A 27223-nucleotide genomic window follows, 5' to 3' on the forward strand; every position below is an offset into this window, starting at 1 on the left:
TCCTATTTTAAAGCTCCATTCAATAATTACAGTAATTCTGCCACGTGGATTTTTCAACTGACTTATGAAGCATCTATCCAGAAAGAAAGCAGCAGGGCAGAAGATTATGATCAGGAACAGTCTGAACACACTCGAGACCCATAATAGCAAATAGGTAAGTGGCTTACAGGTCACTCCTGCAAGGCAGACATAACCAACCACAACCAGTCCTTTGGGGTCCACGTGGGGTCCCAGAATCCTTCCAAAGGCAACACACCCACCAGTCACTACTGACCAAACTGAGTTGGCATGAAGAAAACACTTATTTGCCATTCCTGATGTAGACCCTTGGTTTACCGCTAATAGATGGAGCAGGGGCAAGACCAGAAGTCAGCCAACTTTTTCTGAAAGGGCCATATGGTAAATATTTCAGATGTTGTAGGCCATAAGGTCTCTGTTGCAACTACTAAGCTCTGCCACTGAAGCACAAAAACAGCCACAGACAATACATAAAGGAATGAGCATGGCTGTGTAGCACAAATGTTTATTTATGAACACTGCAATTTAAATTTCATTTAATTACTGCATGTCATGAAAAAAATTCTTTTAATTTTTTTAAGCATTTAAAAATGTAAAAACTATTCTTAGCCTGTGGAGACAGGAAAAAAAAAAACTTAATGGATAAGCAGAGACTAATTAAAAAAAAAAAAAACGGGTAGTGAGTTAATTTTGGCCCCTGGTTATATAGTTTCTTGACCTCTAGGTAAGACAAACTTCCTGGTGGAGTTCTATTTATTGGATCTTGGAATCTTGATGAAAGAGTATCTGAAAAGATGGTAACTTAGTGAATAGGTACCAAGAGTTCTCAATCTCTCCATCAAAAAAATTCCTAATTCTGCACATGGACTTTCTTATACTTTTGAAATTCAATGAACAGGAAAATATGTAATGATAAAAGACCACTAAGAATTAAGTAACGATTTTAAATAAATACAAATTTTATTAATCACAACAGTCTTTATATACATATATCCATAGTAGTATGTTTATATGTAAACATTTATTCAATCTACAAAGTTTAATGTGTATAGAATTCACTGGCCCTCAGCAGAACACAGAGTTGTCAATACTGTTCCTAAGTCATCAGTTCCTAGGACACAGCCAAGTAAGACTTCTCATCTTCCAGACTGAACACGCTTAGTAATAATCAAAACATTCTGTCATCAATGGTTATAATGACTTTCAGTGTTCCTGTAACCAGAGGAAAGGACTTTGCTTCTCAGTGTATCTGTTGTGTTTCATGGAAGCAGAATAGGTTTTAGGGGTCTCTCAACAGATACTCTTCTCTGATTCATCCTTGAGGAAAGGATGGTGGTGGGTGGATTGTGGTAGTGGGGAAGAGAGGGATTTTGAATGTTTTGTCAGATGGTGATTTTTTTTTTTTTTTTAATAAAAGAACTGAAGGACAGGAAAGAAAGAGAAAAAGAAGATTCTTGTACCCCAAAATAAAATTCAAGACATTTTACTGGTGTTAAATTGATTATGACCTAAGAAATCATTTAGGAACAGTTTTTAAAAACAGGAACCATGTTCATCATCTGCCAAGATGAAAACCCACACAATAGGCAGGATTCCAACTCAAGCCTTGTATGGATGTGACTATAAAGATCCAGCCTTACACTTGAACTCTGCAAAAGTTGACACGTCTAAGAGAGACCTTGGTTCACACATCACCAAGGAACCCAAATCACAAAATTTCCCCAAAGGGAAGGTGAATTCAATCAGCAAAATTGGAAGGGGAGAGGATAGTACTCACCTGAAACGGGTGAAAGTGCAGACTGTTATCTAGAGATGTAAGTGTATGTTCTGGAGGGAGAACGGGTCTCATTCTGGGCACTGGGAGGCACATTTAAGAAATCCCAAATCAAAATAGTGTCATCATGGGAGCTGCTGATGATCTGAAACTCATCAAACTGGAGCCGAAACACACGTCCAGAATGTTCCTATGAAATACAAAACTTCATGAATAAAATGAGATCTTTACAGCCCCTGATATCTCACAATGAGAAACTGGGCAGAAGATGAAAATGCAGCCACTTAAACAGACTTCCTAAACGACTGTACAGAGCTCACTGAACTGTGTCCTTCATCCCAAGAACAAATGTTCTTCTTTCTTTTCCTGCTAGGCCTTTTCTTTCATTAAACTTTGTATCTTAGACTCTAGTCTACCAATATTTCAAAGATCATCTCAAAAAGGGCCTTATAAAAGTAAACAACAATACATAATACCCATTCTTGATACACTCTAAAAATCCACTGGAAAACCTAGAACCAGAAAGACAGTTTGTTTTAACATGACCAGGATCTACCTCAAATTGCTGCCAGCATCAAAATTCATGGTGAAATAATAATATAAGAGTTCCCATTAAAATCAAGAAGACAGTTCTGCATCTTCTAGTAAATGCAAGAAGTGAAGAAACAGAAATAAAACTACTAAAATCTTTTTTAAATCTACCAATATTTCCAAATGACTATCTCTTCAAAAATATAACAGTACTTATAAATGGTATAAAAATTTATATATAGTATAAAAATGTGCTGTTATTAAAACATAACCACAAATAGCCATATTAAGAAATCTTCCAAACCTACAAGAAGGAAATATTGCTTGCCCTATGAGGAAACCAGTCCACCTACAAATCAGGAAGCCTGCCTTCATATCTTAAGCTGCATTATGTCTCCCCTTAGGAAAGTGCTCACAGTAATGTAAACATCAAATATTCTCTGGTTTTGGCTAAACAAAATGAAGACTGAAATTCTCTGAAGGCATCTTGTGAGACACACAAGCGTTCCTGTGATACACCTAGACAGGACTATCTGCAAATGGTCATCCTCCAGCACAGGGAACCAATTCCCGTCTCAAGAGATCACATACCACCAATGTGCGCAAACACAATGTGCTTGCTGGGGCTCGAGGGTCAAGAGCAGCTTGCAAGTCCCAAACTTTAATTTTCCTAGAAAGGAAAATGAGATGTGATTAGTGGAAAAGTGAACAATTTATATGCTGTCAAACATTTCCTTGAAAAAAAGTAGTGCATCTGAACTGCCTATTTATAAAAGCTAATGGGGAACATGCTTATGTTTTTACAAATCATCTGAACCAATTACACTTGATTTTGGAAAAATTAAGAACCTACACATTCTCAGAATTGCTGAAATTTTAAAGAAATATTATTTTAAGGGAGATAAGAAAACAACTTCAGGTTATCTAAATTCAGTTCCGGACTTGATAACCTATGTCACCAAATTCATTCATCAGGGGACTCTCTAGGGCTGAGTAGGTGCTGCTGACAGAAGCTAGGGCTCTGTGTGAAATTCCAAGGATACCTTTCTCCAAATTAAGCAAATGCTGGAAGTTAGTAATAGGAGTACAAACAGACCAACTAACCCATTTGGGAAGTATATATAAGGTCATCTGGAAAGATTTACAGTTGCCATTTGCTCATTTAAAATGTAGTGAGGTGTTTTAAAGAGGGTTTGTTCAATTTACCAAAAAGGGAAAAAAAGGGAAAAGAAGAAACTTATTGTTGAACGAACACACACACACACACACACACACAAAGAGCCTGGCTTAATTTAGGGATAAAGCAAAGAAGTCAATACCCCCACATCAACTATTGAAACCTAAGCTATTGCTGGAGTTGACAGCGATGATTCAAAGCTAAGTTTAGGAACCACAGTGACTCTCCCTCTGTGTGATTTGGGGTAAGATTTAGTTCTTCTTTCTGGGCCTGAGTGTCCTCACCTAAACAACAGGTATAATAATACCTGCCATCCACCATTACACAGAAACCTACCATAGGACCTGGTACATACAGAGTTGCTTAATATATAACATTTCTCTTTCTTCTTGATACAGTTATAGCAGTACATCTGAAAATCTGAAAGACATACCCATCATAGGCCCCACTGACAATCCTCTTGTTATCAAACCGGATGCATCGGACCAATTCTTCATGTCCCTCTAGGACTCTTAAACAGGCACCACATTCAATATCCCAGAGCCTTGAATGAAAAACAGACCTCTGTGAAACAAATTCCCACACACGATTCACACTATCCGTAAGTTTTTTATATCTGTTCCATACAGATACAATTTTTCACTATCTTGGAGCTCTTTATTTCTATCTCACTTCCAGTACACACCACACATATAAAGCTGTATGTGTACATTTATACCATCTGTGTGTTTCCAAGCACTAACCTAGGAAGAAGCCTTACTTTTTATTCTATTTCCTTTTATATGATTTGAAACTGTTTTTAATCATGCGTCTGTATTACTATTTAAATAAAATCAACAAACAAGAAACTTCAATTCTATTTAATCCTTAGGCATTCTCTTGATGTCTGAGTTGATAAAAACCATGTAGACAAATGGTGTAGGAAAGACTCTTCTGGGGAGACAGGGATTGTAGGCAGTAAAGGAGAAAGAGCACAGATGAGACAAGGTGGGAAAGGAGATATCACGTACAGCCAGGGGGTTAAGCTTCCGCCCCAGGCACTTCTAGCACAGTGGAGTCCATAAGGACCACTGAGGTTAGAACTGGCGGACCAGCAGGGGAGGTGGCTGTCTCTTGATGAGGCTTGGGGATACCCCTTCCTTGATACTATATGCTGAATACTGGGATTGACGGTTTACAAAGTCAGAGTGGGAGACTTACTAGGTACACGCAGTGTTCTGGTGGAAATATAAACCCATTGACAACACCAAGTCTTTTTCTCTGCATATGATTTATGTAACAATTCTGGAGTTAGAGATCTTTTTTCCTATTATGACTGATTTTCTACAGTATTTGTAGAAAAAAATCATAGCTAGTTAGCATGTACAAAATAAAGTGAGCAAATTAATTCTATAACTTTTTCTTAGCCTCTCTACCAGTAATTCCTATGATACATCCAAAGAATGTATTTTATTACAGCTGCCCTTAGCAAATCTTCTTAGTACCCGTGATGATAGCATCTCTAATCTGTGATCAAAGCCATTCAGTACTGCCACTATGACTCCAAAGTAGTTCCCTTCTATAAGCTGGAGAGTAATACACATTACTATCTTGTAAAACCTTGACAATTCCAATGAGGAAGTTAAGAACTGTTTATTGATGAAACATTAAGCAATACCACAAAGCATGATGAATATAAGAGAATCAAGATTTAAGCTCTAAACTAAATTTATGGTATCTTGAAGCCTAAAGTGATAAAGCAAACTTAAATAGCTTTTTTGTTATTTGCTTGCCTTAAAAAAAAGTTTTAATAATCTTAAACCCAATCTTTATTTTGACCAAACATTAGGCAATTATAAACGCCAAAGTTTAGTCACTTATGTAAAGCTACTAGCATGTGTTTGCTTGCCTGCCTTTAAAAAACAAAAAACTTTTTTTAATAATCTTGAATCCTATCTTTATTTTGACCAAACATTAGTCAATTTGATTATAAACCAAAGTTAAGTTTAGTCACTTATGTAATGCCACTAGAGTGTGTTGAGACAGTGGGGAAATGGCATGGGATAATGAAGTAGATATTGAAGGGATGTTCTTAGTAAGATACAAAATGTCTAAGGTTAGTCAGATTTATTAGAAAGCAGGGAGGCCGAGTGCTGGGAAGGAAAAAGAGAGGTAAATGACCTGGCAGGAACAGATGCAGTCTTGGGAGAGGAAAATAAAGTACACTCCCATGTGTTAGGTAGGGAGGTGGGAGCTCACAGGTGAGGGAAATTGGAGCGAGCTGGGCTGCACTGCAGCACCCTAGCCTGTTCTGAAGTGCTCTGGTATTAAGTGATCCCAGGTGGAGCTGAGGTTAAAAAACTTTGTGTACTGGGGGAATCTTGGAAGAACACCCAGGGCACACACGGTTTTCCCACTTGAGTATACAGAGCCCAAATACATTTCTAAAAGTTACCTAAAGCTTTCTTATCTGAAACATCCCATTTACCCTGAGTTGTTTTGAGCATTAGAACTAGGAGATGAGTCAACAATGTGGCAAAAATCAGCCTGCTCTGTCAGCACACCAACTTCTACCCACCTAATGGTATTATCTGATGATCCACTAACAACCAGGCGATCCCTGTACTGGAGACAGGCAATGCCCCGCTTGTGCCCATTGAGAGTACGAACAAATTCACAGGTGCTCGTGCTCCAGACCTGTATAACAAATTAACAGTATTTTAAAGAATGAACACAGGAAAGTCCTCTCACAATATACCTTTCTTAAAAAGACAGAGCTTCTGATAATGACCCAAATATGTGATTATAAAATACGGTGTCCTCTAACTCAAAGTTGGGAGGCTGGGGGGCAGACTAGACAGCATAAAATTTTCTTGGCTGCTGAGTAATAACACTGGAATGAAACACGGAGGGAAGTGAAGTCTCCAGTCTTTGAGATCTTTACAAAGAGAACATCTCCTGAATGGTTCAAACGCTCATTTACCTGGAGGAAAGAGTTTGGGCCAGATTTTATGTTTTTACACCAGCTGACATTTCAAACCCCATGGAGCTAATGTAATAAAAAAGCTTCCAGCTGGGTACGGTAGCTCACACCTAATCCTAGCACTTTGGGAGGCTGAGACAGGAGAATTGCTTGAGCTAAAGAGTTCGAGACCAGCCTGGGCAAAATAGTGAAACCCCATCTCTACAAAAAATAAAATTAGCTGGGCATGGCAGCATGCACCTGTGGTCCCAGCTACTCAGGGAGCTGAGGTGAAAGGATCATTTGAGCCCAGCAGGTTGAGGCTGCAGTGAGCTGTGTCTGTGCCACTGCACTCCAGCCTGGGTGACAAAGCAAGACTTTGTCTCAAAAAACAAACAAAAAGTCTCACCTTTCATATCATCCTCTTTTCCAGCATATTTTCTGGAACAGCTCCATTTGTTTTGACACATTACTTCTAATTGTATGTATGCAGAATAAATAATCCCCTCTTTTGTGGTATCTGACTTAGATGTTCATAGACAGCTAAACATATTATTAGACAAATAAGGAGACACACAGCAACCAGAGTGCCCTGAATTATCTTACCAGCTGCATTTGTAGCTGAATGGGATAGATAAATAGATCTCCACAAGTAAAAGAATGGCACTGGACCCCTACCTCATACCTTAAACAAAAATTTAACTCAAAATGGATCAAGGACCTACACATAAGCACTGAAACTATACAAGTCTTGATAAATTGAACATCATCAAAATTAAAATCATTTGTGCATCAAAGGACACCATCAAAAAAGTGAAAAGACAACTCACAGAAAGGGAGAAAATATTTGCAAATCATGTATCTGATAAGGGACTTGTGCCCAGAATATATAAAGAACTTATAACTCAATAATAAAAAGGCAAATTACCAATTTTTAAAGTGGGCAAAAGATTTAAATAGACATTTCTCCAGAGAAGGTACACAAATGGCCAATAAGCATACAACAAGTTGTTTAGCATCATCAGTAACAAGGGAATGCAAAGCAAAACCACAGAGTACCACTGCACAATCACTAGGGCAGATATAATAAAAGAGACAAATAATAGGAAGTGTTGGCAAGGATATGGAGAAATCCTCCATGCTGATATTATGAAACAGCTATTTTGTAATAAAGCTCAAACCCTCTCAACTTCCAGGCACTGGTCTCATACCAATTGGTGTGACTGTGGGAGTAAGTTGCCGCATATAAATCCTAGTTGTTTAGCTTCCCAGCTATCCAATGCAAAGCCTGATGCTACACACTTCGTGATTTGTGGGGCTAGGTATAAGAGTGCTATCCAGTGCTGGTTATGAAAAGGAGGTTCTTCTGAGCAAGCTGAAACCCTCATATACCACTGGCAGGATTGTAAAATGGTACAGCGCCTTTGGAAAACAGTTTGGCAGTTCCTCAAAATGCTAAACACAAGCCTGGGTGACAAAGTGAGACCTGGTCTCTACAAAAAAAAAAAAAAAAAAAAAAAAAGGGCCGGGCCTGGTAGTGCCTGTACTCCCAGCTACTCCGGGAGGCTTAGGTGGGAGCCTCAGGAGTCCCTGAGCTGGGGGACTGCTTGAGCCCAGGAGGTCAAGGCTGAAGCGAACCATGACTGTGTTACTGCACTCCAGCCTGGGTGACAGAGTGAGACCCTGTCTTCAAAAGGAAAAAAAAGCTAAACACAGAGTTACCATCCTAAGAAAATTAAAAACATGAAAACTTCTACACTAATATTTATAACAGCATCATTTGTAATAGTCAAAAAAATAGAAACAACTAAAATGTCCATCAACTAATAAACAGATGAACAATGAAATTTTATTCAGCCACTGGAAGCAACAAAGTACTGGCTGGGTGTGGTGGCTCATGCCTGTAATCCCAACACTTTGGGAGGCCAAGGACTGCTTGAGCACAGGAGTCCAAGACTAGTCTGGGCAATAAAGCAAGACCCCATCTGTACTTTTAAAAAAAAAAAAAAAAAAAAGAAGGGACAAAGCTGATGATACATGCTACAAAGCACATGGATGAACCTTGAAAACATTATGCTAAGTGAAAGCAGCGAGAAATAAAAGGCCACATAAGGTATTCTTCCAATTATATGAAGTGTTTAGAATAGTCCAATCCCAAGACAGAAGGTAGATGAGTGATCACCAGGGACTGGGAAGAAACACAGGCTGACTGCTAATGAGTGTGAGGGTTTTAGAGCGCGATGAAAATGTTCTGGAACTAGACAATGGTAATGTTATAGAATGCTGCAAATGTACTAAAGGCCACGGAATTACACCCTTTAAAATGTTCAATCTTATGGCATGGAAACTATATCTCGGTAAAGATGTTATAAAAGCATAGGAAAGCTAAAATTCAAAAAAGTTAGCTGAGATATTGGAATCAGGACTGCATTTACCATATCCTAGGGAATCACCCTAGACTTCAACTCCTTGTTACAAGTCTGCCTCCCCCTTCACCGCATGCTAAGCTTCTTGAAGGCAAGGACATGTCTTCTTCATCATCATATCCCTAGCATCCGGCCCAGAGTCCACCGCACTGCGAGTCCTCAAAATTAGGTGAATAAATAAAACATCTAAGCTCTGCCACTAACTAGCTGTGATGATCACCAACACAATCCTTTACTCTCTGAGCCAGATGTGTAAAATGGGGCCACACCTACCTTAAAAGTGCTGAGTGTTAACTGAGACCATAATGTAAAGCTCCCAACACACAATACATGATCAACACGTTAGCACTCTTCCCCTTAAAAAGGTGATCAAGAATTTCATGTCATGAAACAGAAGACTGTTCTCTCTTCTGGACCGATGGCTTTTCCTCCTACCTTGCCTACAACTCTACAGATATACAGAGTGGGATGGCCTCAAGGGTTCATAAGCACAGAGGAGAATAAAGATCTTGCCAGGTACCAGGTTGGTATAAGCCACCTCTGCTTTGTCTCTGTTCTAAAAGGGACAGGAACAGGTAGGGTTATGACTGCAGACATACTTACTTTGATGGTCCTGTCACCAGAGGCAGACACGATGTACTTGTCGTCAAAGTCTACTACATTGACGGCAGCCCGGTGGCCAACCAGGACACGGCGTAAAGTGATGTCGGTCGCAGAAGCCATGTCCCACACAGCAATGGAGCGGTCCTTGGAACAGGTCACCATCAGTCCATTGCTGAAGCGTAAGTGCAATACAGCCTCATTGTGGTGGATCAATGTGTTAAGAACTTCACCCGTGTTCACATCCCACACTCTAGGAGAGAAGAGAAAAGCATGATGCTTAATTATGGAGACAGCCAGGAAATGATTCTGGTATCTGAGCTCTGTCTGGGTCTGCAATGGTTTGGATATAGTTTGTCTGACTCTACCAAATCTCATGTTGAAATTGATCCTCAATGTTGGAGGTGGGGCCTGGCAGGAGATGTTTTGGGTCATGGTGGTGTATCACTCATGAATGGCTTGGTGCCATTCTCATAGGAGGGAGTTCACTCTTAGTTCCTGAGAGAACAGGTTGTTGAAAAGAGCCTCCTAGCACCTCCTCCCTCTCTCTTGCTTCTCTCTCACATGTGATCTGCACATGCTGGCTCCCCTTTGCCTTCTGCCATGAGTAGAAGTAGCTCGAAGCCCTCATCAGAAGTAGATGCTGGTGCCATGCTTCTTGCAGAGCCTGCAGAACCATGAGTCAAATACACCCCTTTTCTTTATAAATTACCCAGCCTCGGGTATTCCTTTATAGCAATACAAATGGAGTAAGACAGGGTCTATTCTTAATGAACCTAAGGACATGATTAAAAGGGGCCCCTAAAAGCAATTTCTTTATTTGCTGAGAAGTGCTGAGATGGTTTCAGAAAAGGTGGCTAATTCTGGCTCTGCCTGAGTTTAGGTATATTTAGCAGTCAGGTATTTAGGGACGGTGTTTGCAGGCTCGTGCTGATGGCAAAAGATGATTCCTCTAGATAGTAGATTTTGTATTGAGTCTGAGATGACAGGAAGAAGGAGGCTTGTTGGCTGAAGAACTGAGAATGGTTCCAAGCTTAGTTCTTGTTGACCTCTGACAGGCCTCTGAGTCTATCAGTTATCCACTGCAAACTGGGTAAGTCATGATGCCTCATCAATCACCGCATCCACTTCTTTACCCAGCTGCTTTATGGACAAAGCCAGGGTCTCCCAACTGCTTTGTAGATCCAGGGATCTGGAAGCAGCATTTCCACATCACGGCTTTTCTGTAACCCTCATCTCCTAAGAGGACAAGTTCACATAGGGCAGAGGGGGAAAGACTCAGGCCTCTGAGGCTGAGACATGATCTCTGGCAGAAGCAGGGGTACGGAAGCACTGAGTCCAGGAGAGGATACTAAGCATGCTTCAAGCAGGGGTGGCGATGCTTCCAGCAGGGGTGGCGAAAGAGTCCAGGAGTGACTCCTGGAAGTGAGTGTCTCCTCTCTGCTCTGGACCACATAACCAAAAGAAGAAAGCCAGCCTAATACTTGGTATATGCTCTTACAGGAAAGCATGTTGTCATCTCTACAATGAACAGCAATAGGAATAGAACACCCTTAACAAAAATTAGCTTTCCTGCCTAATTTGCGCAAACATGTCTACAATAAAAGTAGTTTGAAATACAGCATGTAAAAATGTAAGTTTGTGTATGCCTCTCCCAGAGGAGGATGTCAATCTCAGACTTTCTCAGGGAAGGCTTACAAGTTAAGAACAATGAAGCCAGATCACTCACCTCACCGTAGAATCTGAAGAGCCAGTTACAATGACACGCTCATCATACTGCAGACAGAGGACAGAGCCTGTGTGTCCTGTTAACACTTTCAAACATTCCAGGCTGGTTTTATCCCATATCTATTGAGACAAGATTAGCCACAAACGATGATTAATTATACTATATTTTGATGAATGTTACTGTCCCACCTTATGTTCTGATTATAAAATAAAACACACTTGGGTTACAGTAAATAAGAAACACTGAATAACAAACAGGTAAGAAATGACAAGAAGGAATACAGACAATAGTGATTAACTACTAGGATAGATGTGCTATTTTGCTTAATTTGAACCCTTAGCTATTGATCTCAGTATACTTATCAACAGCCTCATAAAGGGGACTTCTTAAAAATAAAATCTGTGAAAAGAATTCGCTCACTGACTGGGTGCTGTGGCTCATGCCTATAATCCCAACATTTTGGGAGGCCGAGACAGAAGGATCGCTTGAGCCCAGAAGTTAAAAGACCAGCCTGGGCAACATACCAAGCCAATCTCCATAAGAGTGTGTGAGTGTGTGTGTGTGTGTGTGTGTGTGTGTGTAAGAGAGAGAGAGTGTGTGTGTGTGTGTGTGTGTGTGTGTGTTTTAATTAGCCAGGTGTGGTGGTGTGTGTGCCTGTAGTCCCAACTACTCAGGAGGCTGAGGTGACAGAATTGCTTGAGCCCAGAAGGCAAGGCTGCAGTGAGCCATAATCACACCACTGTACTCCGGCCTGGGCAACAAAGCAGGACTCTGCTTTGTCATTTTATTTTTATGTCTCATAAAAATATTAATGAAAAAGAATTGGCTCACTCTCTGGAAAGCAACATGACAACGTCTATTAAGAGGTTTTACAAATGCATACCCCTACGTTTACAAAAACAAAAAGTGGAAAATGAAATGTCCAGCATTTCATAAAAGTCTCAAAGTAAACTATGAAGTGTTTAATGAGAAAATATCATGCTTTATTACAAAGTTAAGCATTTTAAAAATCAGAACAAAAATTATCTGTAAAGTGACACAATGACTATGTATATTTTAGAAAAGGAAGAAAGGATTAAAGGAGGTAAAATGTTGTGAACAGTTGTTTTCACACTCTGAGTGTTCCTTTTCTCGCTTCTTTTACTGCCTCCATAGACTTGTCTTTTCTAGAATGTCACAGATTTGGAATCATACAGTATGTAGCCTTTTTAGATTGGCTTCTTTCACACAGTAATACACACTTACGGTTCCTCCCTGTCTTTTCATGGCTTGATATACATTCCTTTTTAGTGCTGAAAATTATCCCACTGTCTAGATGTACTACAGTTTATTTATCCATTCACCTACTGAAGGACACCTTGGTTGCTTCCAAGTTTGGGCAATTATGGGTAAAGCTGCCATAAACATCTGGGTGCAGGTTTTTGTGTAGACCTAAGTTTTCAATTCTGTTGTGTAAATACTAAGTGGTATATATGGTAAAAGTATGTTTAGTTTCGTAAGAATGCCAAACTGCCTTCTGAAGTGGCTGTACTATTTTCCATTTCCAACAGCAATGAATGAAAGTTCCTGTTCCTATTGCTCCACATTCTCACCAGCATTGGGTGTTGTCAGTGTTCTGGATTTTGGCCATGCTAACAGGTGTGTAGTAGTGTCTCACTGTTATAATTCACATTTCTCTGATGACTTACAATGTGTAACATCTTTTCACATACTTACAATATGCCATCTGTATATCCTTCTTTGGTGAGATGTCTGTTAAGGTCTATGCCTTATTTTTAAAAATCAGGTTAAGCTAATTGTTTTTTTTCTTACTGTTGAGATTCAAGAGTTCTTTGTATGTCTTTTGCATACATTTTCTCTAGTCTGTGGCTTGTTTTTTCATTCTCCAGACAATGTCTCTCACAGAGCAGAAATTTTTAATTTTAACAAAGTCCAGCTCATTAATTCTTTCTTTCATGGGTCATGGCTTTGGTATTATATCTAAAAAGTCATCAACAAATTCAAGATCATCTAGATTCTCTCCTATGTTACATTCTGTGAATTTTAAGATTTTGTGTTTTACAGTCAGGTCTTTAATCCATTTTGAGTTAATTTTTGTGAAGTATATAGGATCTATGTCTAGACTGTTTAAGGGTAAGGGAGGCAATATGGTGTCTAATTGCTTCTGCCCCATTTGTTGAAGACACAATCTTTTCTCTACTGTATTGTCTTTGCTCCTTTGTAAAAGATCAGCTGACTATATTTATGAAGGTATATATTTCTGGGCTCTCTATTCTGTTCCATGGATCTAGCTGTCCATTCTGTTGCCAGCACCACACCACTGTGATGACTGCAGTTTTACAGTAATTCTTCAAGTAGGGTAGTGTTAGTCCTCTGTCTTTATTCTACTTCAGTATCATGCTGGTTTTTGCTTGTCCATATAAACATTACAGTCAGCTGGTAGATATCCACAAAATCACTTGCTGGGATTTTGATTGAGACTGCATTGAACCTACAGACCAATTTGGGAAGAAATGACTGACATCCTCACAATAGTCTTCCTACCCATGAGCATGAAATATCTCTCCCCATTTATTTAGTTCTTTGATTTCTTTAATCAGTTTTATAGTTTTCTTCACATAGATCTTATAAATATTTTGTTAGATTTATACCTAAGTATTTCATTGGTGGGGGAGGTGCTAATATAAATGTTATTGTGTTTTTTGAGATGGAGTCTCACTCTGTCACCCAGGCTGGAGTGCAATGGCGCGATCTCGGCTCACTGCAACCTCCGCCTCCCAAGTTCAAGCTATTGTCCTGCCTCAGCCTCCTGAGTAGCAGGACTATAGGCGCCCACCACCACACCCGGCTAATTTTTGTATTTTTAGTGGAGACGGAGTTTCACCATGTTGGCCAGGCTGGTCACAAACTCCTGACCTCAGATGATCCACCCACCTCGGCCTCCCTAAAGTGCTGGGATTATAGGCGTGAGCCACCGCGCCCAGCCATGTTATTGTGTTTTTAATTTCACATTCCACTTGTTCATTGCTGCTATATGGGTAAGCAACTGACTTAAGTATATTAACCTTGTATCCGGCAAACTTGCTATAATCATTTATTAGTTCTAGGAGGTTTTTTTTGTTGATGCTTTCATTTTTTTCTACAATCATGTCATCTACAAGCAAAGACAGTTTTAATTCTTCCTTCTCAATTTGTATACCTTGTCTTAGTGTGTTATCTAGGAGTTCTAATACAATGTTGAAACATAGTGGTGAGTGGGGACATCTTTGTCTTATTCCTGACCTTAGTGGGAAAGTTTCACATTTCTCAGCACTGTGTGTGACGTTAGCTATAGGCTTTTTGTAGATACTCTTTATCAAGTTAAGGAAGTTCCCCTCTATTCATAGTTTACTAAGGGTTTTTATCACGAAAGAGTGTTCAATTTTCTCAAACGCCCTTTCTGCATCTATTGACGTGATTTTCTTCTTTGGCTTATTGATATGACGGATTAATTGATTTTTGAAGGTTAAACATGAAGATATTGGTCTGTGGTTTTCTTTGAATGTCTTCATCTAGTTTAGTACTAAGGTAACAATGGCCTCATAGAATGAGTGATGAAATATTCTCTCTTCTTCTATCTTCTGGAAGAGATTGTAGAGAACTGGTGTAATTTCTTACTTAAATGTTTGACAGAATTCACCAGTAACTCATCTGGGCCTGGTGCTGTTTTGGAAAGTAATTAATTATTGACTCAATTTCTTCAACAGATAAAGGCCTATTCAGATTACCTATTTGTTTTTATGTCAATTTTGGAAGACTGTGTCTTTCAGGGAATTAATTCATTTCATATAAATTATCAAATTTGTAAACAGGGAGTTGATCATATTATTTTATTATTCATTTAACGCTCATGAGAGCTATAGTGATGTCTCCTCTTTCATTTCAATATTAGGAATCTGAGTGCTTTTTTTTCTATGTTAGCATAGCTAACGTAATTATCAATTTTACTCATCTTTTCAAAGACACATCTTTTGGTTTCCTTACCTATTTCTATGGATTTCCTGTTATCAATTTCATTGATCTCTGCCCTACTTTTCATTAACTCTTTTATTCTGCTTACTACGGATTTAAACTGTTCTTTTTCTAGTTTCCTAAGGTGGAAGCTTAGATGACTGATTTTTAGTCTTTTTTCTAATATATGCACTCAATACTATAAAATTCTAAGCTTTCACTGCATCCCACAGATTTTGATAACTTGGGCTTTCATTTTCATTTAGTTACACCCACCCACACATGCACACATGTGCACACACACAGCGAAGGAGGAGGGAGAGAAAGTCTCACACCGTCACTCAGGCTGAAATACAGTGACACAATCACAGCTTACTGCAGCCTTTGACCTCCCGGGCTCAGGTGATCCTCCCACCTCAGCCTCTTGAGTAGCTGGGACTACAGACGCATGCCACAATGCCCAGCTAATGTTTTTTAATTTTTTTGTAGAGACAGGGTCTCCCTATGTTTCCCAGGCTTGTCTCAAACTTCTGGGCTCAAGCAATCCTCCCACCTCAGCCTCCCAAAGTGTAGGGATTACAGACGTGAACCACTGTGCCCAGCCTCAAAATATTTTTAAAATTTCTCTTGAGATTTCTTCTTTGATCCATGTGCTATTTAGAATTATGTTATGTAACCTTAAAGTATTTAGGAATTTTTCCAGCTTCTTTTTTTTACTGATTTCTAGTTTATATCCACTGTGGTATGATTGGACATTGTATTAATTTCTAGCCTTTCTTTTTTTATTGCTTTTATTTTTTTATTTTTCCATAAGCTATTGTACAGGTGGTATTTGGTTACCTAAGTTCTTTAGTGGTGATTTGTGAGATTCTGGTGCACTCATCACCCAAGCAGTATATACTGCACCATATTTGTAGTCTTCTATCCCTTGCCCCCCTCCCACTCGTCCCCCCAAGTCCCCAAAGTCCAATGCATCATTCTTATGCATTTGCGTCCTCATAGCTTAGCTCTTACATAACAGTGAGAACATATGATGTTTGGTTTTTCATCCTGAGTTACTTTGCTTAGAATAACAGTCTCCAATCTCATCCAAGTCACCGCAAATGCTGTTAATTCATTCCTTTATATGGCTGCATAGTATTCCATCATATATATATCAGTCACAGTTTCTTTATCCACTCGTTGAGTGATGGGCATTTGGGTTGGTTCCACAATTTTGCAATTGTGAATTGTGCTGCTATAAACATCCATGTGCAAGTGTCTTTTTTAAATAATGACTTATTTTCCTCTGGGTAGATACCCAGTAGTGGGACTGCTGGATCAAATGGTAGTTCTACTTTTAGTTCTTTAAGAAATCTCCCCACCCCACAACAGGCCCCAGTGTGGGGAGGCGGGAGGGATAGCATTAGGAGATATACCTAACATTAAATGACGAGTTAATGGGTGCAGCACACCAACATGGCACATGTATACATATGTAACAAACCTGCACGTTGAGCACATGTACCCTAAAACTTAAAGTATAATAAAAAAAATAAAAGAAAAAGAAATCTCCACATTGTTTTCCATAGCAGCTGTACTAGTTTACATTCCCACCAGCAGTGTAGAAGTGTTCCCTGTTCATCATATCCATGCCAGCATCTACTGTTTTTTGATTTTTTTATTATGGCCATTCTTGCAGGAGGTGGTATCACAATGTGGTTTTGATTTGCATTTCTCTGATCATTTTATCATGTTTGTCGGGCATTTTTTCCTGTGTTGAGCATTTTTTCATATGTGTATTGACTATTTTGTATATCTTCTTTTGAGAATTGTCTGTTCATGTTCTTAGCCCACTTTTTGATGGGATTGTTTGTTTTTTTCTTGTTGATTTGTTTGAGTTCATTGTGTTTGTTTTTTTCTTGTTGATTTGTTTGAGTTCATTGTAGATTCTGGATATTAGTCCTTTGTCAGATGTATAGATTGTGAAGATTTTCTCCCACTCTGTGGGCTGTTTACTCTGCTAACTGTTCCTTGTGCTGTGCAAAAGCTCTTTAGTTTAATTAGGTCCCAGCTATTTATCTTTGTTTTTGTAGTATTTGCTTTTGGTTCTTGGTTATGAAATCCTTGCCTAAGCCAATGTCTAGAAGGGTTTTTCCAATGTTATCTCCCAGAATTTTTCTAGTTTCAGGTCTTAGGTTTAAAGTCCTTAATCCACATTGAGTTGATTTTTGTATAAGGTGAGAGATGAGGATCCAGTTTCATTCTCCTGTATGTGGCTTGCCAATTATCCCAGTACTAGTTGTTGAAAAGGGTGTCCTTTCCCCACTTTTATATTTTTGTTTGCTTTATCAAAGATCAGTTGGCTGTAAGTATTTGGGTTTATTTCTGGGTTCTCTATTCTGTTCCATTGGTCTATATCCCTATTTTTGTACCAGTACCATGCTGTTTTGGTGACTATAAGCACTATAGTATAGTTTGAAATCAGGTAGTGTGATGCCTCCAGATTTATTCTTTTTGCTTAGTCTTGCTTTGGCTACATGGGCTCTTTTTTGGTTCCAAGTGAATTTTAGAATTGTTTTATCTAATTCTGTGAAGAATGAGAAAGGAATGGTTATGTCCTTTCCTGGTTTTGGTATTAGGTCGTATTTTGACAGGGACTGCATTGAATTTGTAGATTGCTTTTGGCAGTATGGTTATTTTCACAATATTGATTCTACCCATCCATGAGCATGGGATGTGTTTCCATTTGTTCGTGTCATCTATGATTTCTTTCAGCAGTGTTTTGTAGTTTTCCTTGTAGAGGTCTTTTGACTCCTTGATTAGGTATATTCCTAAGTATGTTATTTTTTTGCAGCTATTGTAAAAGAGGTTGAGTTCTTGATGTGATTCTCCTCCTGGTCACTGTTGGTTTACAGAAGAGCTACTGATTTGTGTACATTAATCAAAAGGAAATGCTATAAACAGGCCTTCAAGAAGGGAAGCGTTCTATAGTTCCATGACTAGGTCTGAGTCTTTTAGTGAGCCTATACCTCTAGACTTCACAAGTACTTCTCAGTTCTTCCTCACCCCTTTATGCGTGACCAAATGGATGAGGGGGCTGGAGTTGTGTATTTCCCTTCCCCAGGTCAGTCAGGTTCTATAAAATCTCAGCACTTTAGGCTCTGGCTAAGCAGTTTCTACTGAAGGTAGACCTTATCAAGAAGTACAGAATAACCTAGTATAGTTTTAAAAGTTTCTTTTCCCTTCCCGCTGCTGGAAACACAAGGAGATTTTTCTGGGATAATCACTGAGAGAATCTGGTAGAGCTCTTGCAGGTAAAACTCACAAAAGTGTGGTGGGGAGCCTGATGACTGGGTCCTCCTCAGTTTATATTTCTCAGACTTGTCCCACACTGAGCCTCCAGCAATTTTTCAATTACGGTTCAGGTTACCCTACCCAGGCACTGGTTCTCCCGGATGTTTCTGCTCCAGTGAGTTATGATTCTCTGTATTTGCCTGTCTCTCCAATTTGTGGGGCAGCAGCTTCTCCTGTGACCTCACTTCTCTTATGAATCTAAGTAGAATGGTTGATTTTTCAGTTTGTTCAGATTTTTACTTGTTGTCAGGACAAGTAGCAACTTCTTACGTACCAAACCCACTCCCTTCTTTTAATCTTTCCAGTGTTCCCAAGTTAACAATATTGTTGATATTTAATGGGAGATGAGAATGTTTTCAAAGATTGAACTATTTAAAATAGACTCTGTGCACCTATTTCTTGACATGTACAATACTATCATAATTTGTAGTGACTCTACAGTTTACTGCAAGTGAACAAGATTTTATAAATGAGGTAGACACTGAAATATAATATCTACAATAGCAAAGCTTGCTTTTAACTTCTGACCTAATGGAACCTGAGTTATTTTTTAAAGTGATTAGTGATCAAGGATTGGTGCAGAATAGAGCAAAAAAAAGGTTTCCAACCACTGGTCTAGATAATCTCTTCAAAGCGCACTTCTGCTCTACTATTCTATGTCTTATTAAGTCAAATGGATGTGCCACAATTAAGAGAATTCTTCAGAAAACACATCTAGTGTAAATGAATTCCAAGCCCACAGCCAGACTATGCTTTGACAAAGTTGTTATAAACCATTCTTAACTATTCCTTAAAGAAAAACTACCAGTATTATTGCAGCACTATTCACAATAGCAAAGACTTGGAACCAACCCAAATGTCCAACAATGATAGACTGGATTAAGAAAATGGAATACTATGCAGCCATAAAAAATGATGAGTTCATGTCCTTTGCAGGGACATGGATGAAGCTGGAAACCATCATTCTCAGCAAACTATCGCAAGGACAAAAAACCAAACACCGCATGTTCTCACTCATAGGTGGGAATTGAACAATGAGAACACCTGGACACAGGAAGGGGAACATCACACACTGGGGCCTGTTGTGGGGTTGGGGGAGGGGGGAGGGATAGCATTAGGAGATATACCTAATGTTAAACGAAGAGTTAATGGGTGCAGCACACCAACATGGCACATGTATACATATGTAACAAACCTGCACGTTGTGCACATGTACCCTAAAACTTAAAGTATAATAAAAAATAAATAAATAAATAAATAATAAAATAAAACGATATATTGATAGAAAAAAAGAAAAACCACCAGTATTAAATAGTAGCATATGTCACACTTTCTAGAGTATACTGGTAGCCACAGGTTAGGGCTATCAAGTATATATAAAAATAGAGTTCGGTGGGCCAGGAGCAGTGGCTTACACCTGTAATCTCAGCACTTTGGTAGGCCGAGGCAGGAGGATCATTTGAGGTCAAGAGTTTGAGACCAGCCTGGCCAGCATAGCGAAACCTCATCTCTACTAAAAACACAAAAAATTAGCCAGGCCTGGTGGCAGGCACCTGTAGTCCCAGCTACTCAGGAGGCTGAGGGAGGAGAATCGCTCACTTGAACCCAGGAGGTGGAGGTTGCAGTGAGCCGAAATCATGCCACTGCACTCCAGCCAGGGTGACAGAGCGAGACTCTGTCTCAAAAAGTAAGAAAAAAAAAATTAAAAATAGAGTTCCGTGGTCAAATAAGTTTTGGAACTTGGGAAACACTGGGTGTCTGTCTCTATTGTAGGCATTCTCAGAGCCTTTATATGCTACTGTATCCTGTGAATTTCTAAGCTGGAGACACAGCATGCAGTGTTATCTAAACTTCCTTGGAGGGCATTATTATTCTCTGCCTAGAATGCCTGCCAACATCCTCTAGATTCACATCCACAGAATATCTTTTGGCAAACACTGCCATACATATAGGAAACCAACAGAACAGTTTCTTATATTCTATAATTCAGAGTGCGTTTGACCTAGGTAGCTGAATTACTAAAATTCCACTATTTCACTTTTTAAAAAACAAACAAAAAATAAAAATTAAAAAAAAAAGCAGAAAAGCTTTATTTCACCCAAAATAGAACAATAACAGAAAACAGGGCCAAGATGGAGAAAGCCCACTACAATCTATCTCTCCAGTTGATTATAACTAAACACTCCTGATAAAAACTAGTTAAGAACTCTGAAAAGTAAGGGGAAAGAGGGGACAACAGGTAGATGTGGCAAGGGGTCAAAATGTGAAGAAACAATCTGCATGGGGGTGAATTTGCCATTATTTTTCTTTGTTGTTTTCTGTTTTCTTTCTTTTTTTTTTTATTTTTTATTGAGACAGAGTCTTGCTCTGAATTGCAGTGGTGTGATCCTGGCTCACTGCAACCTCTGCCTCCTGGGTTCAAGCAATTCTCATGCCTCAGCCTCCCGAGTATCTGGGATTACAGGTGCCCACCACCACGCCCAGCTAATTTTTTGTATTTTTAGTAGTGACAGGGTTTCACCATGTTGGCCAGGCTGGTCTTGAACTCCTGGCCTCAAGTGATCCACCCGCCTCAGCCTCCCAAAGTGCTGGGATTACAGGCATGAGCCACCACACCCGGCTTTTTCTCTTTTCTTCCTTCTGTGGCTTTTGCTCAAAGGCAGGCCCTTGACCAGGAAGCTATACAGTGAAATAGCAAAACATGCAGCTAAAATTCTGAAAGAAATCCCTCTAGGCAGAGGGGCTGGAAAAAAAGAGATCCCTGGGGGTTTCTTTTCTCTCTTCTCTCACAGGGCTCATGGCTCCAGTCATGACGACACACTGCAGAACAATGGAAAAGATAAAAAAATTCCAAGAGTGACCCAATTTTTCTGGCCAGAGGAAAAGGAAAAAAGTGTCCTTATGGGCTGAAGAGACTTAGGGAAATCCAAGAGGAAAGAACTGGAAATAAAAGAACCCAAACAACACATGACTTGGGCTTACCCTTGAGCTGTATATGCGCAGAACAGACTGAACCAGCACAGCAAAGGCTGTCTCAATGAGCTGATATTTAAAGCACTGCTGAAGCCTCAGATTAACCTCTAAGTAGTGAAAGCCCATGACAGACGCAAAGTGGCATATTGCAAAGGCTTTGAACAGTGGAAAAGAGATTAGAGCCATCCCCGCAACCCCTCTGATGATGTCAAGACAGAACTTGTGTTCTGAACCCAACTAAGTTGACTAACTGCTTAAAAACACACTTACCCAAAAACATTGTCCAGAGGATTATAACAGGACCCACAGTCTTTACAACATAATATCCACAATGCCCAAAATACTAGTTTAAATTACCTGGCATACAAAAATCAAGAAAGATGAACAATCTCAGGGGACTGGACAATCAACAGATGTCAAGCTGGAGGTTACCCAGATGCTGACATGGTTAAAGATGTTAAGCACCTACTCTATACTCCACAGGATAAAGATAAACGTGCTTGAGGTAAATAAAAAAGAGAGAATTCTCAGCAGAGAAATAGAAACTGTAAAATATCATACCTGAAATTAAAAACTCACTTGATGGGGCGGAGGGTAACAGGAGAATAGAGATGAAGAGATGAAAAATTCAGTCAACTTGAAGATAGGCCAATAGAAATTATCCAGAAAAGGGAGGAACAAAGATTGAAAACAATGTGGAACAATATCAAAAGATATAGTATTTATGTGATTAGAGTCTCAGAAGGAAAGGAGAAATTGGTACAGAAAAAAATATTTGAAAAAATAATGGCTGAAGACTTCTGAAATGTAATGAATGAAAGACGTAAATTTACACATTCATGAAGCTCAGAGAAAGGCTTCTTGGATATAATATCGAAAGCATGATCCATAAAAGAAAAAACTGGTAAGTTGGACTTCATCAAAATTAAAATCTTCTGTCAAGTACAGTGGCTCACGCCTGTAATCTCAGCACTTTGGGAGGCCAAGGTAGGCAGATCACCTGAGGCCAGGAGTTCAAGACCAGCCGGGTCAACATGGTGAAACCCCGTCTCCACTAAAAATACAAAAATTAGCTGGGCATGGTGGCTCATGCCTGTAGTCCCAGCTATTTGGGAGGCTAAGGCACAAGTATTGCTTGAACCCAGGAGGTGGAGGTTGCAGTGAGCCGAGATCATGCCACTGCACTCCAGCCTGGGTGACAGAGTGAGACTCCATCTCAAAAAAAAAAAAAAAAAAAAATTAAAATCTTTTGCTCCATTAAAGAGATCATTAAGAAAATGAGAAAATGAAAAGACGGCCAGGCATGGTGGTTTACGCCTGTAATCGGGGCACTTTGGGAGGCCGGGGCAGGTGGATCACCTAAAGTCGGGAGTTTGAGACCAGCCTGACCAACATGGAGAAACCCTGTCTCTAATAAAAATACAAAAAAGTAGCTGGGCATGGTGGCTCATGCCTATAATCCCAGCTACTCGGGAGGCTGAGGCAGGATAATCGCTCAAACCCGGGAGGCGGAGGTTGCAGTGAGCTGAGATCGTGCCATTGCACTCTAATCTAGCCCAGGCAAGGGTAAAACTCCGTCTCAAAAAAAATTTTTTTTAAATAAAAAGAAAATGAAAAGACAACTCACTAATTGGGAAAAATATATGCAAAACATATCTAGCAAAGGACGTATCTAGACTACATAAAGAACTCTAAAAACTCAGTAATAAAAAAACAAAGAACCCATTTTAAAATGGGTAAAAGATCTGAAAAGAAACTTCACCACAGAATATAGAGATGGCAGGTAAGCACATAAAAAGATGCTCACTATCATCACTGGGGAAATGTGAATTTAAAGCAAAATGAGGTATGTTCACATACCTATTAGAATGGCTAGTATCAAAAAAAACTGAGATGATCAAGGGCTGACAAGGATACAGAACAAAAGCAACTCTCAGGCCAGGTGTGGTGGCTGCTCACGCCCGTAATCCCCGCACTTTGGGGCAGGCGCATTACTTGAGGTCAGGAGCTCAAGACCAGCCTGGGCAACACGGCAAAACACCATCTCTACTAAAAACAAAAAAATTAGCTGGGCGTGGTGCCACATGCCTGTAGTCCCAGCTACTCAGGAGGCTGAGGTAGGACGGCAGGAGAATTGCTTGAACCCAGGAGGCAGGTGACAGAGAGAGACTCCGTCTCAAAAAAAAAAAAAAAAACTCTCATCACTGTAGATGGGAATGTGAAATGGTACAGGCACTTTGGAGAACAGCTGGGCAGTTTCTTAGCAGGTGAAACATACACTTACCATATGAGCCAGTAACCCCACTCCTCAGTTTTCACGCAATGAACTAAAAATTTATGTTCCCCAAAAAACCTACAGGTATATAATTATGGTAGCTTTATTCATAATTGTCAGAAACTGGAAACAACACAAACATCCTTCAACAGGTGAATGGGTAAGCACAGGAAAGAGGCAGAAAAGCCCAGGATAAGAAACGGGCAGGACAAGGGAATTGGGGGAATGAGAGAGCTGCTCCATATCGTGATTTTTGTAACAGTTATACATGTCTGTGTGTTTATCAAAATTCACAGAATTATACAACAAAAGAGCAAACTTCCCTGTTTGTAAGTTATAATGTTTTTTTACAAAGTTTAAAAAACATGTTTTCTTAAATATGAGGACATAAGATACAAACAATGTAAAATAAAATCAGATCAGATCAGCCATCAAACAGATTAAACATGGAAAAATAATCCAGTTTATCTACTACTGAAAAGTTAATGAAAACAATATAAGTTGCTCTATCATTCTGTGGTATTATTATTTGAGTCCTTCTCAGGAACCATAAAAGGTAACACCTTTGGTTTATAAACTACCAATACCAGCTGGCAAAGTAATCAAGAGCCCTGTGATACTGGGATATTTTCTATTTACACCTAATACAGAATATAGAATGTGAATGTGCTTAGAGAAGGATAAGAAGTGAGACAATCCAGGGTCTTGTATTAGTTTCGGGGAAATGCTCTGGCTCTAGTTCTTTAGAACTACACTGAGAGCTGCCAAGATTGAGTGGAAGAGATAAAAACCAATCTAGAGTAAATGGAAAGATTGTCACATCTAGTGTCTAACACATAGCCACGATTCTAAAAATAATACATAAAAAATTCAGTCATTCACCTTAATAGAATTATCTCGTAGGCCACTGATAATTTTTTCATCATCGTACTGTAAACAGTAGACACCTTTACTATTTTCAGAGCGGCACTGAATCCTCTGCAAGTTGTGTCGTCCACACCGCCAGTTAGATTCTATAGTCTAGGGAAAAAAGGAGGCAAGAGATGAGTTTTTATGAATCAACTTACTCTATTAGGTTTCAGACTTTGGCGTTGCTTCCAGAAACAGCATACCACCGATACCCCAATCTTGGTTTGCATAACTGTCTGTGGATAGGATCATGCTCTTTTCCAAGTAAGACATTAACCCAACAATGTTTTTTCTTAAACTTTCCCTGCCCATTTGGCAACCGTCATAGGATTTCCAATGAGTTTTGGACTGGGCTTGAAAAAACTGGCCTAGACAGAATTCAGTATGTTTAAAGAACGCCGTTTGCACCCAAAACATGCAAATAAATAGTAACTCATTGGGTCGCTCCCTAATGCCAATTAAAAAACCATCATTAAGCATATATTGACAATCTACATATCCAAACAAAGAATTGTCTTGATCACTGAGGAAAGATAGTGAGCAACTACTATAAGCCAACTACATAGGAAGAATTTTATCATTTTTAACCTTCCTAATGTTTCTGTAGAGTAAAAATGGTACATTTTAGCCCTAGATTCTTATTCCTCTTATCATTCATGCAACATTTGCTGAGATGTTAATATATTCCACATAGTGTGCTAGGCACTGAGGATAAAAAGATCAACAGGAGACATACTGCATTCAGGGAGGCACCACTCCAATATCTAGGCCCATGGTGTCTGGATCTAGAGAGACACTAAACTAAGTGTATTTGGTTAAATGATCCATACAATAACCTTGGAAGGAAGGAAGTACTTATTATTTCCTTTTTACAAACAAGAAAACAGAGTTTAATTTGCCTGCAGCCACAAAATCAGTAATCGGACTAGCTGGAAATCACACTCAGTTCTTTCCGACTCCAAACCCATGCTTTTGCTACTAACATATTCAATGCCCACAAAGCAGGATGGGCCTGCCTCTTGCGGCAGTGCACACAGAACGTAAGAAGATCAGTAACAATTCCAAAAGTGCCAAATGAGTGATAAAAATTCTAAGTGCTGCAGGACTTAAGGGAGATAATGAGCTCTATAGCCTGAGACACTGGGACAAGTTTAGTGAAGAAGTAGGTCATACCCAGAGCACCAGAAGACCTAACCTCTGGTAGTAGACATAAGTGATTTTTTAAGGCTCAAAAGATACAATGTCTCTACTAAGAGTAACTAAAGTCTGAATTCTTGATCCTTGAAATTAGGGGACAACAGGGATTTCTATAACCTGTTACACTTCAGTTCAGGATATAGTTTCTCTCTGAGTAGCTAATTATTTCTGTACAGCTAAAAGTCTAATTATTTGCTTTGTTGAAGGAGTACTTAATTACTGGCTCTGCTGACATCTAACAAACTGTATTTCTTCTTATTTTGAAGATAGTATCCTTCTGTGCACTCTAAAATGTTACAATTTACTGAAAGCTACATGCCAGGCACTATGCTTTTCTAACACTATACCACTCACTTTATATGTTTTGTAGCTAATTTAATCGTGACTCTGAAGCAGGAATCATTGTTCGCATTTTATAGAAAAGGAAATGGAGGGTTGGAGATATCGATACACGTATACTTAAAAAGCGATTATTTCCATCATTTGTGGCCCCAGTGCTCAGCAAGAGTCCTGGAAATACGGTATCTTCCCTCAAGGAGCTCCCATACACATCCTGAGGGCAGGATGGTATATTTCCAATGCTCAGGAGATACAAGGAGGTGCCATGGAGATGCCAGGAGAGGGGAAATACTCATTTGTCCATCTGCCACCAAATCAGAACTTCCTAGCCTGGGTCATCATCTCTAGTGACTTGGTAAAATATTAGACATACAAAAGCACACTTCAAAACCAAAAAAAAAAAAAAAAAAAAAAAAAACTAACCCAACCATCTCTGCTACCTCTATCAAAGTAGACAACAGATCTGTCCGGATAAGCGACTTTTTAAAAAGAGGTCCAGAATACAGGCATTTCTTAAGCAGAACTCAACGCATGGAATCATTTAGAGAAACAATGTATTTTTAGATAGTGACTGTGCCATCTCAGCATGCTAAGCACTCCAGGAAAATGCTGATTTAGTAGGCAGATGTACTGGTAACAAGTCTAATTTGTGGCCAGTGACTCTTGGCAGTAGTTACCAATGTTCACGTTATACCCTCTGGGGGCCCACAGAGTTGCTACAGAATGTATGATGTCATATTACAAGTATGACAGAGATGAATACATAATATGTCTTTACATATATGTCAAGTGTTATCAAGCTGTTCTTAGGTTTAAGAGGTATACAATTGCTTTAAAATGACACTGAAGCAGTAAGTAGCTTTGTTATGCTCTATATTTCAATGACTAGAAAAAGCACATTTACTACCGCATGAGAGTCTGAGGGGGAAACAATTATTTTAATTTAAAAGAGGGGATGGGGGGGAATCTCTATACCAAAAAGAATTTTCTCCATGCTCTCCGCTGCTC

At 39.3% G+C, this 27223-nt stretch overlaps 1 protein-coding gene across 13 annotated transcripts in view; it reads right to left on the reverse strand.

The window, feature by feature from the left end:
- FBXW11 (F-box and WD repeat domain containing 11) overlaps positions 1 to 27223 on the reverse strand; it is a 145090-nt gene that overhangs the window by 5266 nt on the left and 112601 nt on the right. For all 13 annotated transcript variants that reach the window (NM_001378980.1, NM_033645.3, NM_033644.3 and 10 more), the window contains 7 exons: positions 24653 to 24790; positions 11197 to 11315; positions 9471 to 9720; positions 6058 to 6176; positions 3934 to 4044; positions 2915 to 2993; positions 1796 to 1982 (listed from right to left, as the gene is read on the reverse strand). In NM_001378980.1, the coding sequence (NP_001365909.1) occupies positions 1821 to 1982; positions 2915 to 2993; positions 3934 to 4044; positions 6058 to 6176; positions 9471 to 9720; positions 11197 to 11315; positions 24653 to 24790 (978 nt within the window). In that variant the 3' untranslated portion in view covers positions 1796 to 1820. The remainder of the gene's footprint in view (positions 1 to 1795; positions 1983 to 2914; positions 2994 to 3933; positions 4045 to 6057; positions 6177 to 9470; positions 9721 to 11196; positions 11316 to 24652; positions 24791 to 27223) is intronic.

Source organism: Homo sapiens, chromosome 5 (genome assembly GCF_000001405.40).
Source record: "Homo sapiens chromosome 5, GRCh38.p14 Primary Assembly".
In the NCBI taxonomy this organism is placed as follows: domain Eukaryota; kingdom Metazoa; phylum Chordata; class Mammalia; order Primates; family Hominidae; genus Homo; species Homo sapiens.